Consider the following 19613-nt stretch of genomic DNA (forward strand, 5'->3'; position numbering starts at 1 on the left):
CTTAGAGAACATAAAAGTGGGAAACAATTGTCCGTTCTAGGTGCTTGTCTTTACTACGGGTATCACCACTTAAAGCAGCCTTTCCACTCACACTGTCTCCTGAATAGACAAACTAGGCAGATACCTCCACTGAACAGATCAGAAATGTGAGGCTCTCGCAGCTGTGAGACAAAGGAATTGCTCTACGTCAATCTAAACTCAGATCTAGACTCCAGAGGGTGCCAAAAAAATATTTATCCCAGTTCCTAAATGTCTCTACTCTGTGGGGAAGCAACTTGTCCTCAGCAAGGCTGGCCTGAGCTGGAGCTTTCGGCCACCGGGCCTCCAGGCTCCGTCCAGTCTCAGGCCTCCCCCAGCCCATCCCCCAGCTCGCCAGCCTGTAGCATTTTGAAGCATTTGACGTCACTGCCTCTGTCCTGCTGACACTCTGACCATTTTCACACAGCTGTCTGCTCCCAGGAGGCGATGACGGGGCCCTGCCGGGCCGTGATGCCTCGTTGGTACTTCGACCTCTCCAAGGGAAAGTGCGTGCGCTTTATATATGGTGGCTGCGGCGGCAACAGGAACAATTTTGAGTCTGAGGATTATTGTATGGCTGTGTGTAAAGCGATGAGTAAGTCCTGCCTCGCGCTGGTCCCGTGCGGCAGCACCGTCCTGTCTGGCGTCCGTCTCCCTGCCGTCTTCGTGGCTGCATCTGTGTGGTGTCCCTGCCCACTCGGGTGTTTGCTGTCGGTCGTCTTCCCCTCATCTTTGTGCTTTCTAGATCTAGGCTTTGCTCTCCTGCCGGCAGTGGTAAGCTCAGTTCTCGTGTCCTGTGCTCACCGTGTGTCTGGTGGTGCTTGGTGGTGATGGTGCGTACCCACCTTGGTATAGCGGGCAGCACAGCCAGGGGCTTGTTCTTTCTTGTCTGGCTTTGGAGTCTGCAGGTCCCCAGGCCACTGTAGTATTGGTGGGGAAGGCAGCTGTCCCCTGGGCTGGCTCTAGCTTAGAGGCACTGAACATTCCTGTCTTTGAACTGCCCTGTCACTGACCCCTGTGATGCATGCCAGCTCATGGGGCGCCTCCTCTCGAAAGGAGTGACAGTGAAGTACTTTGGGCAGTCTAGAATATTGAAATATCTTGCATAATGCACTCTAGAGAGAGCTAGCAGCCAAGTGGTAGTGACTCACTCTGTTTCTTCAATATTTTGCAACCGGGTCACACAGCTTTAGGAAGTGAGAGGATTTCAGTTGGTGTGTGCTTTGGTGTGACAGGAAGGTCAGTGGTTCAGTTGAGTTGGGTTTATGCTGGACGTTGGTAGAAAGAGTTTCTACCAAGAGTTTTCCCTTTTCTCCATGGCTACTCCTTTTTCTCGTTAAGACCTTCAGTCTCTCACCTTGCAGCACTAACCTACACATTAGGAAAATCCTCAGGCCAGACAGTTTTTCTTGGTTCCTACTCTGGAATTTGTTGGAGTAATAATTTGCTATGAAGAATTTGGCTATAGCTTCTGACGGTTTTTCATTCACATGCCTTCATGTTCCCTCTTCCTTCCTTCTACCAAAAGATCTTTCAAATCTTAATGTAATATGGCAGTGCCTTGAGTGCTTCCCTTCCAGCTCCAGGAAAGCTGTTTTTATTCGGTAACAGTTGAAAGGTGAAAGAAAAGGAGGCCTTAGGGAACCTTGGTGAATAAACTTTGCGTTTTCAGGAAAGATTTAGAAATAGAAATTATTGTGATACTTACTGCTTTGTAAAACTTGGACTGAAGCCTGAGGAATCCCACTGAGTGTGGAGGTGGTGATCTCTACCCGAAGGGTCAGCTGGGTGGTGCTGTGAGACATGATGGAGTGGCAGGTCTGTAAAACTCCCGTTTGCTGTGGCTTGGATGAGATTTGCCTCGGAGAAGCTTTGTGTTCATGTTCTTGTGGGGCCTCTGCCTGGAGGGCTTTGCAGGTTGAGAAGCATCAAGTTTACTTCCAGTGGGAGCGTTTTTGTTCTTCTTTGAAGGGGCTGAGGCTGGCGGATGTGCCGGCTTCATGAGTGGGTGATTCCACAGGGACCGAGGGTGTCTTCAGAAAAAAGCATTTCGGCCCGCTGTCCTCTCCACTCTGGTCCCAGGGAGGCTGGAAGCAGCCTGTGTTTGCTGTTCCCTTTTTCCAGTCCAGCAATGTGAACCAAAGGCTCCGTCTCCAGCGCTCAGGCCTTTATAGCACAGGCATGTGTCACTGATCCGCATGATGGACTGCAGTGCTTGAAATTCTCCTCCACTGAACTTGCGAGTGTCTTGGGGAATGGCATTTACCAAGTTATCGATTCTAATTTAGTTAATCTGAAAGTGGGATATTGACACCCTTTTAAAACTTATGTAGGGCTCATATTCTTCATGACTTTAGTTGTCGTTTTTAGGTCTGTTAAATGGGCAAATAAAAGATGCTTCCGACAGAAAAAAGTTGAACTGGCTGGCTAATTTGTAGCTGTATTCATCAATTATATGGTTGTTTTAATGTATTAAAATGATACAATTCTAGAAATTAGGTGAATTTGCTTCTGAATTAAAAATCAGTTGAACCTTGGCATTCACTCTCCACTTAGCTCTGAAATTGTGTCATAATCTATCAAGCAAGTCCACACCAGCTTGGGAAATCTTGCATGAATTAGGCTAGTAAGTGTTACCTTAGGTATGTCTTGAGAGGCTGACTGAGTAAACTTGTCATCTCAGTCCTTTCCCTTATCAGGCTAAATTCCATCGTGCAGAGACTTGCTTGGGCCCCATGAGAGATTATGCCCATCCAGCAGTCGGGGGTGCTCCAATGGGCCTGTGCTCTGGGGAACGCTTGGGAAGCCCTATTGGTCAGTGTCATGGATCAAAAAGCCCTATCTTCATATCGGTGAAAGGTGTCCTTGTCAAATAGAGCAACTCAGTTTTATCCTTGTTGGTTCTGTCACTGATGGTGGGGCTAAGAGTCCTTCACTGATACTGAAAACTCAAAATTATAGCTGGAGTGATGGGGACTTTCTCTACCCAGCGTATATGCAAAGAACATTCACTTGAGCCTGTTTTCTGTTGTAAATTAAGACTCAAAGATAGCCAGAAGAGCAGAGGTACCTGAGTAATAAATTTCTTTAAAAATAAGGAATTGCATAAAAGTGCCTCTACAGGGTCTGATTCCTGCCCTTGTCTCTGTTCAGATGCTCAGTTACGAGCAATAAGGTAGCTATTGTTTAGGTTTCCAGGGTTCGAGCACTGAAGGGAAGGTATAGAAGAAACCACCTCTTTTTCAGCCCTGAGGTCTTAAGTAGATGCCTCACTGGTGCTGAAGCTGCCAATAAATTGCTGTATTAGCGTGGGCTGACATGGTTGATGAATATTGTGTAAGGAAGATTGCCCACTGTAATCTAACCAAGTGAAGTCTTGGCAGATAGCAGCACCCTGCACTTAGAGAATGCCACAAAACAAATTGAGTCCATCCTGCAGGTCCTGAGCTGGGTTTTCTTCCTAGAGCACAGTGCATCTGATCCCAAAGAGAACTCCCTCTGTAATTTTGTTTCAGTTCCTCCAACTCCTCTGCCAACCAATGATGTTGATGTGTATTTCGAGACCTCTGCAGATGATAATGAGCATGCTCGCTTCCAGAAGGCTAAGGAGCAGCTGGAGATTCGGCACCGCAACCGAATGGACAGGGTAAACCTTGACAATTTCTTCATCTTCATGGTACTTGGCTTTGGGTAGCATGGTTCTCATAGCTGAAGAAAAGTAATAGCTTCTCCCTAGATTGTCATGCTGATGTATAAGGACTGGTGAGTCAGGAGAGAGTTACCAGTGGAGCTGCCTTCTGGGTGGACTTCTTCACCACCTGCATCCAGATAATATATAATATAATTATCCTCTGAGCACTTCCTATACCATTATCTGCCCTTTTTTTTTTTTTTTTTGCCATTAACTTGCTTTAAAATTTCTTTATTTTAAAGAAGGAAACTTTATATCACTGTTATCAATAAAAAGCTAGTACCATTTGCCGTGAGAAGAAAGTGACCAACCATACAAATATATTAGATGAAAGCAAACATGTACTAATACATGCTAGCTAGATACTGCTGTCTCTGGAAGGTTCTGAGTCTCAGAGATGTTTCTTTTCCTTTAAAAGGGTTATAAGAGAGCAGCAGGAACACCAAAGTGCAACTTTTCTTCTGGATTTACTCAGGATTGAAGAGAATTGAAAAGGGAATGCCTTGCTAGGCCTAAGCTCCACCCCAAATCCCACACAGTCCCATGTTGGGCTTACAGTTTGCAAAATGCTTATTGTTTTATCCACATCAGCTCTGAAAAGTAGGTATTAACCTCAATTTTTTTGGTGAGGAGACTAAGGCACAGAGACTTTTAAATAACTTACTCAAGGTTATGTAACAAAGAGGTCATGGAATTGAGGCTCCATCTGGGGATAGTTGAGGCCTGGAACCTTCTGAGGCAGTAACAATGCTAAGCTCCTAAGAGATTGTGTGATTGGTTTCCTTTTGCAGTTTCCTGTGAGATTTAGCATCTGACAGTGTTTTTAGCAAATGGAGGAGTTGTTTCGGGGTATTAATCACTGCTGACGGCGTTTTTGACCTTTGTTCTAGGTAAAGAAGGAATGGGAAGAGGCAGAGCTTCAAGCTAAGAACCTCCCCAAAGCAGAGAGGCAGACTCTGATTCAGGTAAGATGCCTTCTCTGGGGACATAGCTTTCAGCCTGACCATTGGAAAATACGGTCAGAGCCCCATTCCCAACGAAATTAGGATTGGACACCACCTCCTTTTAGGTGAGGGCTTACAAGGAAGTTGTAACTGGCCTGTTTTTCTTTTTCACCTCAAGTATTGCTAACCTATGGTAGAAGGAAACCAAACCCCCACCAGAGCACACCTAATTCATGCCAGAAGGTAACCTTAGCTCAGCTGCCTTTCGTTAATTCTGCTTTCCTGGCAAAAGTCCTCTGCCATTTTCAGTCTTAGACTGTGACTTGTTTTTCAGCAGTACTGAATTTTTTTTAAGACTAATTGAAAGTCAAAGGATAGAAAATAAAGATCTCTGATACAATTCATCTCTAACTTTGTAGACTATAACTAAAATCATAGCAGCAAACTGCATTCCCCTTCAGTAGAAGAGTGTTGCTAGGAATAGGGATAGCAATTTCCAGGACTGATTTGGTTTTTACAAAACTGATTTTGTAAATTTTAAATCATTTTATGTTTAGCTGAAATGCCTTTCCTCCTAATGTAACACTTTAATAAAGTGTTAAAAATAATCTTAAAAGGCTTTTTTATTGATCACTTAGAAAATCTAACAGTTTTAATTCCTACAGAAGTCAGTGCATCTTGTTCAGGGAAATGTAGTTCAGCAGGCTTAAACTGTACCTGTAAACCTGGCTGGATACCTCACGGATAACTTGCCCTTCATGACTTTATTGATAGTAATGGCAAAAATCACAATTACTTTTGCACTAACCTAATGACAGGAATACTTCAACAGAACTTACCACATAACTCCCATTGGTCAGTGGTCTCAGAGTTTGGAAGTTAGTGCCTTGCTGCAATGTGGGAAGGACAGTGTTCTTTTTTTATAGTGCATATTGAGAAACCAGGCCTTGGGCTTGCAGGCACTAGCACTTGTAGTTACACAGATACTAAGGAGGCCCTTTGACACTGAGGTTTAACTTGCTCTCTTTAAAGAAGGAAGTAATTCTCCTGATAGAAGTAGAATGAAGGTAGGATGAAGTAGACTTTGGATCTTACCCTTGCTCCACTCTCCGAACCTGTTACTGTCTCGCATGGGCACTGACAGGAGAAGCACTGGGGTCTCAGGGTGCTTGCTTAGGCTTCCTCTGGGTGCCACAAATCATGTGTGGTTCCTGCTTTCTTGGTTTAGCACTTCCAAGCCATGGTTAAAGCTTTAGAGAAGGAAGCAGCCAGTGAGAAGCAGCAGCTGGTGGAGACCCACCTGGCCCGAGTGGAAGCTATGCTGAATGACCGCCGTCGGATGGCTCTGGAGAACTACCTGGCTGCCTTGCAGTCTGACCCGCCACGGGTGAGTCCTGCCCCTAGCACTGCCTGCCCTGAGGTGGTATATGTAGGGGACCAATGTATGACACTCAGGTCAGTAAAAGTGACATTTGTATGACAAGTTCTGGCAAAGCTGAAGCTAAGGAAAGATGATGAGGGAGGAAAAGGTATTACATTCTAATATCTGTGTATATAAGCTAAGCATGACATCGCTTTATGCCTGCGTATACCACCTGTGATGTGAAAGTGTTTTACGCTGGAAAAGTATAACCTCGCGAAATTGATGGGTAATTATCCAGTTATTGAACTTCCTTTCAAAGAATGAAAACATGCTATTCATGAAGACTTTTGAACAAGTTACATTATAAATAAGATTATGAAGAAAGGGGTAAAGTAATTTCTTCTGAAACTCTTGTGTGAGTGGTCTCAAATGATTTTGTCCCTTAACACTAACCTGCCTTGCTTTGGGGGATGGAAAGTATTGGGAGGATATTTGTGTCCTTAAGTAAGCCGGTTAAAGTCTTCTCTCTTTGGGTGACACAGGAGACTATCTAGCTTATAGGTGTCAGAGGCTGAGCCAGGAAAAAGGACAGATCAGAAGAGAACGGGAGTGGGCAGGAGATTCTGGAAAATACTGTATGTTAAGGAGCCAGTATAACTTTGGAACTTAGTTTTGCTATTTTACCTAGACAGTTTTTTTGTTACTTGGTAAGCTAAAAAAGCCTTCCAGTTACAGCTTTCATTCTTGTGCCTAGCTGAGCTTTACATTCTTAAGTGAACTTTTTAAGCTTTTGTTTTCCTGCCTATTTTCAATTCTCTAGTCTCTGGATATTAAAACAACTGTTCTCTCTTGCAGCCTCATCGCATTCTCCAGGCCTTACGGCGTTATGTCCGTGCTGAGAACAAAGATCGCTTACATACCATCCGTCATTACCAGCATGTGTTGGCTGTTGACCCAGAAAAGGCGGCCCAGATGAAATCCCAGGTACAGTAGATGTAGTAGAAATTGCTGCCGTGAGGGCATTTCCAGTGGGGAACATAATGCCTTGACTAATGGTTGACCAGCACTGCTAGTTGCATTTGCTACTAGTCCTTAGAAAATGAGTTTTGATTTCCGAAGACATTCGGTACGTGAACTGGTTTTTGCAAGGTCACTGTTTTTAAAACATCTTTTTAAATACTTTTTTATATTAACTGCTTTATACTTAAACAATTTCTGAATTTTTTATATCATTTATTTCTGATTTAGGGTATTGCCAGAACCAATATTCAAGATCCTTTTCTAGGTATATTTATCAAGCAGATCTTAAAAATTGGTCTCTTGTTTTGTGCAGTATAGTTTTTGTTTAGACAGACACTTTTACATTCCTAGGTTTTGTCCAGCTTTACTTTCATCTACAGAGGTTTGTTTCTGGTTCCTACTTCTAATATTGGTGTTGTTCATATATTAACTTGAGTTTTACTTTTTTGTATTCATAAAAATGAGCTTGCCTACAAGACTGCTAGCTTCCGTTTAAACCAGGAAGTCTCCTAGCTCAGCCTTAGTTTTCCTAGAGGGCCTTATAGTAACAACGCTGATCTTACTTGATTTCCTCTCATATTGTAAATACAGTGCTGTGCTGATTGTGAGTGTCAGGGTACATGGGCTCACTTACTGCACGGGTGCTGGCCTGTCAGCCCAGAAACCCTCCTTCCCCACAGCTGCTATGAGTGTGAAGATGAAAAGGTAATGTGCCTAAAGGCCTAAAGGCCTTTGGAGTATTGGAGCTGAGCTGCTCCATTTGTGGAGCTGGGGGTCTGTCTCAGTGCCAGACTCCACACTGGCATTCAGTGCTGCCGGGTTGACTCCCTTGAGTGCCCTTGAGCAGCTCACACGCTAGTGTAGAGATAATAACTGTAAAGGTGAAGAGCAGGTGTTTTTTTGTCTGTTTGTTTGAGATGGAGTCCCACTCTGTCACTCAGGCTGGGTTGCAATGGCACCATCTCAGCTCACTGCAACTTCTGCCTCCCGGGTTCAAATGATTCTCTTGCTTCAGCCTCCCAAGTAGCTGGGATTACAGGTGCCCACCACAGTACCTGGTTAAGTTTTGTAGTTTCAGTAGAGACGGGGTTTCACCATATTGGCCAGGCTGGTCTTGGGCTCCTGGCCTCAGGTAATCCGCCCACCTCTGCCTCCCAAAGTTCTAGGATTACAGGTGTGAGCCACCACTCCCAGCCTAGAGCAGGTGTTCTTAGATATACAGAGTTCACTTCAGAAGCTGGTTGTTTTGGGGAATAAAAGAACTCAGGCTTCTAAAGAGTGGGAAGAACGTGGAAAGGGGCTGGGTTGGAGACCCTAAGGGGCATCTGGTGTGGGCCTGGAGCTCAGGACTTTGCTTCACGCTGGATGTAGCAGAAGAGGAGAAAGTCCAAGAGGCCTGGATGGAAAACGCATGCATCTTGACAGGGCCTAGGCTCTTGGGGTCTACTTGATTTTTTGAAAAGACTTAATCACTTTCCAAACTTTCTGGTTTAAAATTAAATTATCGTGTTGTATTCTAGCCAGTTTTGTGTGAGAGTAGAAGGGAAGGAGAGATTTTGATCAGTATATTAAATTAATAGAGAATTCCTGCAAGTGAGATCAAGCTTCCACACCAAGTAATGTGGGAAGTAGAATGCTCCCATTTAAACACCTTTGGGGAGAAAACCCAGCTCTCCTGTCTGCTACTTACTACCTGCTCTTAGCTTTAATTCTGGCAAAGCTTACCTTCTGCCTTGTTCCCTATTCTGTTATCTAAACACCAGAAAAATTTGCAGATATTCAGCCTGTTGTAACTTGTGCCATGTCTGCTTGTCTGGATATGAGTGAGATGGTGCTTTTACCCCCATACTATAGCCAATGGTTTGCTGTAGAGACACTAATTTGCAGTCTCCCGCTCTGTGGTTCTTGTCCTCTGTGAGTGTATGAACCTTCCTGTCTCACACGGCTCCCGGTTCCTCTGGGAGGTGTAGCAGGACAACACTTGCTGAACCCGTGGGTGTTGCATTTTGGCTTCATTTGCATTTTTTCTTCAAGGCACTCACTCTTGTGCTTTCCTTGATTGACAGAATGGCAAATATAAAATTAAATTGCTTTCATCCTTGCTTTGAAAGGTCAGAGAGATGTCAGTCTACAATAAAAGCATCTTTCCATTTAGCTTTTTTTTTCATTTTGATCCTTCATGTTAATGGCTTCAGGCCCACATAATTAATCCACTGGTTTCCAGCACCCTCTTTAGGAAAAGCTTGGTAATTGCAGGTCTAACCAGGCGGGGATGACTTAGCTTGAAAAGCTTGTGGGAGCTACAGCAACACACCTCGCCGTGTCATTGGGGTGGATGCTAGCCCGTCACCTTTCACTTCCATCCTGGAAAACTGTAAAAATAGTGACCACTTCTAATGGCCTTTTTTTTTTTTTTTAAATAATGAATAACCTTAGAACTTTTGCATTCAGAAAAGGCAGTGAGCTACGGTAGATGAGTCTTCCTTTATCACCCCCTTAAAATCAGGTTTATTTATACCTCAGCATGAGTTTTTCAAAAAATAGCAATTTAGTTAAATAGGAATAAACTAATTCTTTATTTACCACAATAATCATTTAAGCAATTGCTTCACTAAGCAAAATCCATAATGGTTCCCTCTGTTGCCAAGTCTGCTTTTCAGCCAGTAATTTCAGTCTTTTTTAATCCCATCTAATCTGACCAGTGGTAGAAATCAACTGACTCTTCTTTCACTCAGCAAAACCTTACTGAACATTCGGCATTGTACAAATTAGAGTTCTTTTTTTTTTTTTTGGCTCAATATAATTAGTAGTAAGTGCCTTGTATGAAAATCCAGTAGCTAGTGGCCATTTTTAAATAAATTGTCTCTTAATTTGGAGCACTTTCCAGATAAATTCTCATGTCAGCTGGGGGAATTATACAGTCTTTTTTTTTTTTTTTAAGACAGGATCTTGCTCTGTTGCCTAGGTTGGAGTGCAGTAGCACAGTCATAGCTCACTGTAGCCTAAACCTCCTGGGCTCCAGTGATCCTCCAGCCTTAGCCTCCCAGGTAGCCGTGACTGCAGGCACACAGTACTATGCCTGGCTAATTTTTGTATTTTTGGTGGAGACAGGGTTTCATCATGTTGACCAGGCTGGTCTCAAACTCCTTCGCTCAAGTGATCCTGCTGTCTCACCCTCCCAAAGTGCTGGAATTACAGGTGTGAGCCACCACGCCCAGGCTGAACACGTTCTTATACTTTAGCAGTCAGTAAATATGGCGTGAGGATTAATACATTTCCCCTGACCAGTTGCTTTGCTAGACTCTGTAGAGAATATGCTTTGTAAAGTGGTTTTTCCAGAAGTTGTGTCGATGTTCCAGCTGCAAGTTCCCTCCTGGCCTAGTTGTTTTCAGTCACAACACCTCTCCACCATAACTCTGCTTCCAGGTGATGACACATCTCCACGTGATTGAAGAAAGGAGGAACCAAAGCCTCTCTCTGCTCTACAAAGTACCTTATGTAGCCCAAGAAATTCAAGAGGAAATTGGTGGGTACCAGCTCTTTGTGTCAAGGTCATACGGGACTTCTTGCAGAGGCTCAGGAGTGAAAGCTGGGCAAGAGTAGAGAGAGATGAGCAAGCAAGGCCGGTGAAGTGGGGCATTAGCACATCCTGGCTTCAGAAGCCTGGAGTCCACTGGAGCTTTCATGGCAAGGTGAAGGAGGAACCAAGGACAGGTGCACTGGCTGTGAGCCATGGAGCCTCGGGCTTCACTGACCTTCACTCTGTTAGCGGAAGAATATCTGGGGTGTGAAATTGCAAGAGACTACGAGTTTCCTGTTCCCGTTTTCCTCCTTCGTTCTGATTATTTCAAGCACCTGATTTTATATAAATTCTCACCTCCTCCTCTCCCGGTCTTTATCTTCTTCATTTATTCAACAAGTTTTATTATGGCTGCTGCGTGCGTGTCACAGAGTAAAATGGTCCACGAGCAGATGGTACCTGCTGGAGTTGATGTGTTGATAAGAGAAAAACAGATAGTAAAACAAGAAAATAAGTGTCAGCTGGTGATAGGTGCTGTGCAGTGTGAAAACTCGGGCAGAGTGCTAGAGAGTGGCCAGTCGGGGCGGCTGCCTCTGGGGACGGTGGCCTGAGATCCGAATGGTAAGATCACAGCGGGAGAGCACGTTGGTAGCAGAGGGAGCGGCAGCTACAAAGGCCCCAGGTGGAAGTCAGGCATCACATTTGAGTAGATCAGTGTGGCTACAACATAGCAAAGGGGATGTGGCCAAAGTATGCAGGGACCAGATGAGGAAGAAATTTCAGCAAAATCAAGGAGTTTGGATTTTATTCTAGGATAATGGGAAGCCGTTAGAGGATTTTCAGCTAGGGAAAGACTAGATCTGGATTATGAATTTTTAAAAGCTCACTTGGCTGCTGTGTGTAGTCGATTAAAATTAGAAACCAGCCAGGAAGCGATTTTAGAAATTCAGGAGAGAGCTGTTGGGAGTATGCACTGAAGGGGTGACGGGGTAGGAGAAGGAGCACCCCAGGGACAGCTGGGGATGGTCTGTAGGATGTGTTCTGGTGGGAGTGTGTGGGGCTGCGCCCAGGGCTGCGTGTGGGGTTGGGGGAGCGGCATCAAGAAGTGCACTTAGGGTTCCACTGGGAGCAGCTCGGGGATGGTGGTACCATGGCTGACTGAGGTGGAGAAGGAAATCCGGAGCTCTCTTGATACATGTTAAGATAGAAATTTCTGTTGGATGTTATGTGGGGATGTAGGATTTAGGTGAGGCAGAGGTCAGGCAGTAGGTCCAGGATTCGGGCCTGGGAGTCATGGTATATGGTCAGTATTTAAAACTGGCGTCGGGGAGAAGTAGGTCAGAGGGTATGAAGTGGTAGTTGTAGTTACGTGGGGTGGATACGTCTAGAGATGGGATGGACAGCATGAGGACTGTAGTTAGTAATATCGTACTATATACTAAAAATTTGCCGAGAGTAGATTTGAGGTATTCTTATTTTTAAAAAAAAGTAATTCTGGAAGGTGATGTGTGTGTTTGCTTGACTATGGAAATCATTTCATGGTGTATATGTATATCAAAGCATTATATTTTAGACCTTAAATATGTACAATTTTTTAAACCCCCAAAATCTGTGGAGTTGTGGATACCACTTAACTGGAGTGTGGAGGTGGATGCAGGGGTGCCTGGGACGGCGCCCTGGGGTCCCTGGTGTTGGGGCTCTGTGGTGCCACAGAATCAAGGAAGGTGTTTCAGGCAGGAACTGGGAGCCACAGTGGGGTCTTGGAGCTCTAGAGCATCCTGTGCCTGGACACCAGGCCCTTCTGAAGCCTGCTTTCTGTCCCCTGCCCTGTCTTCATCAGATGAGCTCCTTCAGGAGCAGCGTGCAGATATGGACCAGTTCACTGCCTCAATCTCAGAGACCCCTGTGGACGTCCGGGTGAGCTCTGAGGAGAGTGAGGAGATCCCACCGTTCCACCCCTTCCACCCCTTCCCAGCCCTACCTGAGAACGAAGGTGTGTATGGGCGACGGTGCCACTTCTGGGCAGCAGGGGGAGGACAAAATGAGAGAATTGAAGTCAGTTTTTCGAAAACCAAATTGAGTTGGGAGATGGTGTTCCTGCGAGAGTCAGGGGAAGGGAGACTGGATTCATTGAGCGCCTACTGTGTGCAAGGACCCTGCTAGATGCTTTCAAATCATTGGTGTCAATGTCACCATGAAGTTAAGACTAATTCTCCCATTTCAAGATGGGTGGCTTCAAACCCCCACTTCTTCCAACTTGTGCACTTCCTTACATGGGGGAGGCACTTGGCAGTTGAAACAGCGCCTTCCTGTTATGGTGTTACCTTTGCCCAGCCGTCTTGGGAGGTAGGTGCTGGAGAGGCTGAGGAGGTGACAGGGCTGGCGTGGGTCATATCTCTGACATGAGGTGGGGATAAGAAGCTGTTCCTCTGGGTCCTAGGCAGACGTTCTTTCCTCTATTCCCCTGCTGGTTCTCAGTGTCTAAGAGGATCTCTAAAAGCTGTGAGTCTGCTCCAGAAATAAACAAGTTGCTGAGACCAGTGCCCTGAGAGCCGTCCCCCTCATCAGTTCTGTTTGTTGCTGTTGCTGCTGACAGGGTAATGATAAGAATGGCCCACAGCTATGCCGTAGTCCTTGTTATATGCCAGCTTTAGCTAAGCATCTCAGCGGATGCTCTCCATCCTCACAGTAACCCTCGCAGGTGGGTAGTCGAGTGTCCCCATGTGGGGATTCTGAGGTATAAAGAGATTAAGTAACTTGCCCGAGGTCATGTAGCTTATAAGTGGAGAGTCAGGGGTCGAATCCAAGCTGATCTGGTCCTGCAGTCACAGACCTGACTGGATATAGCACTGGAACAGAGGCCTCAGGAAGGCATCAAATTAGGGGTGGGGGGATGGAGGTACATCCAGCTTAGCCTTCAGACCTTAATGGAAATGCTTTCTAAACTAGCGATCCCAGAGCAGTTGACTCTCCAGAAATAAAACAGGATCTGAGGAAGTGGCAGATAGATGAAAAGGCGCCATGCCACCCGCAAATCTCCGTGGGTTTTTGGGGTGGTAGATGAAGAGGCACCATGCTATCCCCAAATCTCTGTGGGTTTGTCGGGTGGCCATGCTTGGACAACTTCTTATGTGCTTGTTGGGGGTCGGGGCAGCTTGGATATACCTGAACTAGGACCTTATCTCCCTGTCAGCAAACCACAACCAACACTTAACTTCAATTTTCACTTTTTTCTAAGAAAAATAATTATGTGGGCTAAGCTAAATAGTGCAGGCATCTCCCAGTTTCCCTAAAAAGGCACAAGACAGACCTACTTTTTTCTCTCTTATCAAGGATACCCTCCAGTGATTTGCTGTGGCTCATACTGCTGGTTTGTTTATGGGATATTTCAGGCAGGGTGTTTTTAAGGAGGAATACTTTTTGTTCACATTATAGAGAAATTCTAAGATAGAAATTTTAAAAGAAGCCATTTTCTTTTTTAATCTCCTTTTGTGCTATTTTATTTTGTTTTTTATTGTTTTCCTTTCTGCTAGACACTCAGCCGGAGTTGTACCACCCAATGAAAAAAGGTTGGTTTGTCCAAGATGTTCCCTTTAAGACCTTCATTCCTCTCCACTCCCTAGTGTGTCCGAAGCTTCATGTTCTGTTTCATGCCATCACCTGGCTTTCCCCACCTCATTCCTTCTGACACGGCTGTGAGTGGGGTCAGAGCAGCCCCACCTCCATGTTGCTGACAAGCTGACCTGACTCCAGCACTCTGAGGCCAGTTTCCATGGTGTTGGTTACCTCGTGGTCATGCTAAGCTTTCCCTCTGGGATGTCAGAGAATGCACAGCAACCAAAATAGATTTCATGACCCTTTTAATCTGGGTAGATTTTTAGAAGTATATCCAACTTAGGTTGGTTGTGAACTGCTGTCTCCGTATAAATATGCCTTATTTACAGTCAGGTGGAGAGTCGTTCTCTTTTCCCTCTTTTTCTCTGCAATTCCCATTTACATCTTTTCTTTTTGGCTCTCCTCGCCCTTTGTCTGTGCCAGTTGTCTCATGTCCCCTGAGTTGTATATTCCTCAGAACATCGGAAGCCAATGGATCAAACAGCTGGAGACAACCCAGCTCACTGTACTGAGTCTCCAGTTTTCAAAAAGAGTTAACGTTCCGTAAAGCACTATGTGGAATGCTTTGCATTCTTGTCCCCATCTTAGTCCACTGAACGTCCCTGTAGGATGAGTAGTGTTTTTAGCTCTATTTTCTAGATTAGACAATTGAAGAAGTTTCTGAGATGACGTGACTTGCTCTAAGAAGTGGAGGAACCAGGATTTGAACCCAGTTCTCTGTTCCCCAAGCCCATGTGATTTCATTACCTGAGTTGTCGGTGTCACGGGATCCCCCAGGTGGGTGGGTGGCCCAGTCATTGTGAATCATTTCAACATTTCTTGTTCATAATGTGTTGTATGAGCCCACCCTTGGCTTTGGCAGACTTCCTGTTGATGGGCCAAACGGTGTTGCCCGGCTAAGAAGGTGGTGTTCTGGTTTACGCCACAGGTTATTCTCAGAACACAAAAGTGTGATTTCAATCTTCTGAAAATGACTTCGTGTAGATGCTTTATTTTATTCTACTTGGATATGCCTGTTCGTGGGGATGACTGTGCCGACATTCCTTTCAACAGCACAACTGAGATGTTTATAGAGAAAGATGAGTTTTCTAGAAGTTTAACTGGCTTTTGCTTTTGTACTGAACTGTTATGAGTTGGGACAATTTAAACATTAACTTTGGTGTCTTGAAGTCACTTGTTTATGTTAAGAAACGTGGGGGCTATACCACCAAAAATCTATTATAACAGTCTGGACTGGTGGTAGGTTTTTTTTTTTTTTTTTTTTTTTTGAGATGGGGTCTTGCTGTTGCCCAGGCTGGAGTGCAGTGGTGCGGTCTTGGCTCACTGCAGCCTCCTCCTCTGGGGCTCAAGCAGTCCTCCTACCTCAGCCTCCCAAGTAGGTGGGACCACAGGTGCATGCCACCACCCTCGGCTAAATTTTTTTTTTTTTTTTTTTTTTTAACGTAGAGACAGGGTTTTGCCATGTTGCCCAGGCTGGTCTCGAACTCCTGGACTCAAGTGATCCTCCCACCTTGGCCTCCCAAAATGCTGGGATTATAGGCATGAGCCACTGTATCCAGTGACAGTAGACCTTTAGTTTGCTCAGTGCCACATTGCTTTTTGAATAATTCCTGCCTGTGTGACCTTTAAAATTCTGGGAGAGAGAAACATATATATGGAAGGAGCTCAGAATTACAGTTGATTGGGCTTGGTCATAAGCATCCTTGCTGAGGCAATACCCTTCCAGATCCCTCTTTCTCAAATAGTTGGAGTGCAGTATTGCTATTTCATGGGCACTTTGAGACAAAAGCTAGCTCTGATTTAACTAGAATCTAGTCGTGCAAGTCTTTAAAGTTGAAGCTTTAGAAAAATTGCATCATTTTTGGCTGCATTGCATGAGCTAGCCTGCATGTTCAGCAGCTGTGGAAGCTGTTACAAGTTGCTATGTGTTAAGAACAAGTCTAGTTGTGAGGCAGAAGCTCTGCTGTGGTTGTGCCTTGTGCCATTACCTGCCTTTGACAAGCCCAGGGACAGCAGTGCTTTGCATGTCCTCATGTTGAAGTCTCACTTGCAGGTAGTTACCTTAGAATGCCAGATACGCTGTCGGGTTGATCCAGTTATAAAAGGCTCATATCACAGACGTTTATATTGAACTGTATGTTATTATGAATAAGGAATTCTTATGATAGCTAGAAATCACATGCTTTGGAACTAAAAATAGAGGACTTCCTCTCACGTTCCCTCCCTGGGCCTGTGCTGCGTCGTCGTGCTGCGTATTTGGATACTATCCTTCGGAGCGCCACACTCGAGTGATGTTGCTCAGGCAGTGTCTGACCTTGGTGAGAGGAGAGTTGCTGTTCTTGCTGCTCTGTTTAGAGAAAGGTGCCTTCCATGCTGATATTAGAATGCTTCCTATAGGTGGAATGCACGCTTCCTGTTTATCTTCTAATAGCCACTTAGGATATGAGCATCTAGGATCTCGGCACAGAGGGATTCAGCGTGGTGGGAGATGCGGGAAGAAATCCGTAATGACAGACTGTTGTCATTACTGTTGGAACCTCCCCAGGACCAACTGAAACTTGAAGGGAAAATAAGAGTTTAGGTTGGGGAGGGTATTTGAGGCAGAATGAATTCCCTGTGGGCTAACCTACTATGTCCAAGGCAAACGTGCAGGTTATTGTGAGGATGGGTGCTGTGGCAGCCGGGTGTGGGTAGTAGGTGCTCAGTAATTTCTCCTACGATGGTGTGTATTTCCCATGCTAGGATGCCCCTCGGCTCCGCTTCTATGTGTCTTACAATAAACATTTTCTCTGAAGGCTTGCATTTCATTTTCCCAAGTTGGAGACAAGTAAGCACTCCCTCCTCCTCCATTATACCCATTGGTCTCTGCAAATGCCTGTCTCATTCATCTTTAGAGAGCACAGGGCACCCTCAGACTTGTGAACATGGTGGCAGATGAGTCGCGTGGGGAGGTGCGTGTTGAGGGGCTCACTGGCCCTCAGGAGGGAGTTTGCTGCTTCTGTGCAATGGGTGTGAGATGGGCCATCCTTGGGAACTCAGCCATGATCTCTCTCCACACAGGATCTGGAGTGGGAGAGCAGGATGGGGGACTGATCGGTGCCGAAGAGAAAGTGATTAACAGTAAGAATAAAGTGGATGAAAACATGGTGAGCCTGTTCTTTCTTCTGCCCAACACGCTTTACTTTTGAGACTCATTAGAGCGAGTGACCTGATGTCAGATGCTTCCAGGTGCACGTCTCTGTGTTCGTTTTCCGCACAGTAGAAGGTTGGAGGGCTCCAACGGCTCCCACAGACTGGCTGTGGTGTTTAGCATCTGGGTATGAAAAGGATTAAAAAGCCCTTTTCAGCAGTAGCTCATCTCTTGCTATAGAGTAGGAAAATATATTTACAACTAAAGATATGAATAACCTGTTAGAGGCCATTTTCAAGTGAGTAGAGAGTTAATAACTTGGATTAGAGTTGGGTTTTGTTCTTATACTGCCTTAGGTTTATACCCCCTTTTATTCACCTAGTATTTTCTGTCATTTATAGTTCTGGATTATCTTCAACTGAGTTTGATATTTCAATGTGGCTTTTTTTTTTTTTTTGAAATGGAGTCTTGCTTTGTCACCGAGGCTGGAGTGCAGTGGCATGATCTCTGCTCACTGCAAGCTCCACCTCCCGGGTTCACGCCATTCTCCTGCCTCAGCCTCCCAAGTAGCTGGGACTACAGGCGTCCGCCACCACGCCTGGCTAATTTTTTGTATTTTTAGTAGAGACGAGGTTTCACTGTGTTAGCCAGGATGGTCTCGATCTCCTGACCTTGTGATCCACCTGCCTCGGCCTCCCAAAGTGCTGGGATTACAGGCGTGAGCCACCGCGCCTGGTGTAAACGGGGCTTTTTGGCAGTCTGTTCTGAGATACGTCTCCACAACGGTTACTTGAAGGAAAATGCATACGGGACCAGCTGCCATAATATAGTCTTCCCTCCATACCTGCCCCTTCATTAGGGGTTTGGGGAGTGGATTTGGAAGGCTGTGACAGAACTGGTTGGTTAATGGGGGTCCCACAGGTACCTGCTTCCTTCCATCAAGCAGCAGGTAGCAGAGGAAGGAGGCAGTAAATACCAAACTCCCCGTTCACCCAGTTGCTTGCTGCCGACATTCTCATGACTGTTTCAGGTCATTGACGAGACTCTGGATGTTAAGGAAATGATTTTCAATGCCGAGAGAGTTGGAGGCCTCGAGGAAGAGCGGGTACGTGTTTAGCTCCAGAACCTAAGGTTTCCTGCCAATCTTAGGTATTTCTCCTCTGGACCTTCTCAGTTCAAGTAGAAAACGGGAGAGATGCCTGAGCTAATAAGGGTCCCTCATCCCCAGCTTTCCGTACTTTTGGATAAGAAAGCTAAAATTAAAATCTCCATGGAGATTGGGAAGAGTGGGCGTTCTCCACCTGTGGGTGGTTCCCTGCAAAGCAGGATCTTGGTGCTACTTTGGGTTTTAGGGGCTCGACCTTCCAGGAGCGTGGCCCTCAGTGAGTTACTTGCCTCACGGCTGCCAGATGGTCACTGGGACTTTTTTCCACGTCTGCTTTATTACGTAGGAATCCGTGGGCCCACTGCGGGAGGACTTCAGTCTGAGTAGCAGTGCTCTCATTGGCCTGCTGGTCATCGCAGTGGCCATTGCCACGGTCATCGTCATCAGCCTGGTGATGCTGAGGAAGAGGCAGTATGGCACCATCAGCCACGGGATCGTGGAGGTGAGGAGCTGGGCTGCTGAGGGCCTGCTCTGCACTGTGGGCTGGGTTGGGGGTGGGAACCTGTGGAATTAATAGGCATCTTCACTCCTCGAGTACTGGACATGCTGCTGTTATCAGTTCAGTTACTCACTGGATTCCTAGGTCGTGTTTTTGGAAATCAGCCCCTGCCACAAGGGGCTGTTGCCAACTTTCAACATTAGTTTGGGCCTTGGCTATGAATGTCAGAAAGTCATGTGAACATTTTATGCTACAGAGGGTGAAAACTCTTTTCTCAGATTATTTCCTTAGTGTTCCTTTTTCCAGGTATTTTTTTTTTTAATGGGGGAAAGGAGCAACAGGAAATTTAGAAAGTGCTGAAGCAGACTGTTTCTGTTCTGTCTTCTGCTGGTTACTGAACTTGTCTTGCCACTCACTCCTTAGTGAACAGTGGGAATGTCCAGAGTCCCTTGATCCCCAAATATAAATACAGTAAGGACCTTAATGAGCCCTGGGAAATTAGTGCAGATGCTGGTCTTAGTTATTTGTGTTTTTTTGTTTGTTTTGGTTTTTTGGTTTTTTGGAGACAGTCTCGCTGTGTCGCCCAGGCTGGAGTGCAGTGGCGCGATCTCAGCGCACTGCAACCTCTGTCTCCCGGGTTCAGGTGATTCTTGTGCCTCAGCCTCCCACCTAGCTGAGACTACAGGTGTGTGCCACCACGCCCAGCTA

The 19613-nt window shown here is 45.6% G+C and overlaps 1 protein-coding gene across 39 annotated transcripts in view, besides 2 other annotated features; it reads left to right on the forward strand.

The window, feature by feature from the left end:
* Nucleotides 1–19613, forward strand: part of APLP2 (amyloid beta precursor like protein 2) — a 74912-nt gene that overhangs the window by 53273 nt on the left and 2026 nt on the right. For 8 of the 39 annotated variants that reach the window (NR_168394.1, NR_168389.1, NM_001382528.1 and 5 more), the window contains 10 exons: nucleotides 446–613; nucleotides 3534–3664; nucleotides 4600–4674; nucleotides 5882–6040; nucleotides 6872–7000; nucleotides 10463–10562; nucleotides 12397–12549; nucleotides 17232–17317; nucleotides 18332–18406; nucleotides 18753–18908. Coding sequence is in view for 30 of the 39 variants with exons in the window: in NM_001382528.1 (NP_001369457.1) it covers nucleotides 446–613; nucleotides 3534–3664; nucleotides 4600–4674; nucleotides 5882–6040; nucleotides 6872–7000; nucleotides 10463–10562; nucleotides 12397–12549; nucleotides 17232–17317; nucleotides 18332–18406; nucleotides 18753–18908 (1232 nt within the window). In the remaining 9 variants the exon portion in view is untranslated. Of the gene's footprint in view, nucleotides 1–445; nucleotides 614–3533; nucleotides 3665–4127; nucleotides 4310–4599; nucleotides 4675–5881; nucleotides 6041–6871; nucleotides 7001–10462; nucleotides 10563–12396; nucleotides 12550–14089; nucleotides 14126–17231; nucleotides 17318–18331; nucleotides 18407–18752; nucleotides 18909–19613 lie in introns of all 39 variants that reach the window. The other 31 variants (NR_168392.1, NR_024515.2, NR_168390.1 and 28 more) reach the window with 15 other exon arrangements.
* Nucleotides 58–559: an enhancer, noted in NCBI's record as "H3K4me1 hESC enhancer chr11:129993119-129993620 (GRCh37/hg19 assembly coordinates)". NCBI's record gives its function as "activates a minimal SCP1, AML or CMV promoter by ChIP-STARR-seq in naive H9 embryonic stem cells {active_cell/tissue: H9 hESC(naive)}" and the evidence as "EXISTENCE:reporter gene assay evidence [ECO:0000049][PMID:30033119]".
* Nucleotides 560–1059: an enhancer, noted in NCBI's record as "H3K4me1 hESC enhancer chr11:129993621-129994120 (GRCh37/hg19 assembly coordinates)". NCBI's record gives its function as "activates a minimal SCP1, AML or CMV promoter by ChIP-STARR-seq in naive H9 embryonic stem cells {active_cell/tissue: H9 hESC(naive)}" and the evidence as "EXISTENCE:reporter gene assay evidence [ECO:0000049][PMID:30033119]".

The sequence above is a fragment of the Homo sapiens genome, chromosome 11, assembly GCF_000001405.40.
Source record: "Homo sapiens chromosome 11, GRCh38.p14 Primary Assembly".
Classification (NCBI taxonomy): domain Eukaryota; kingdom Metazoa; phylum Chordata; class Mammalia; order Primates; family Hominidae; genus Homo; species Homo sapiens.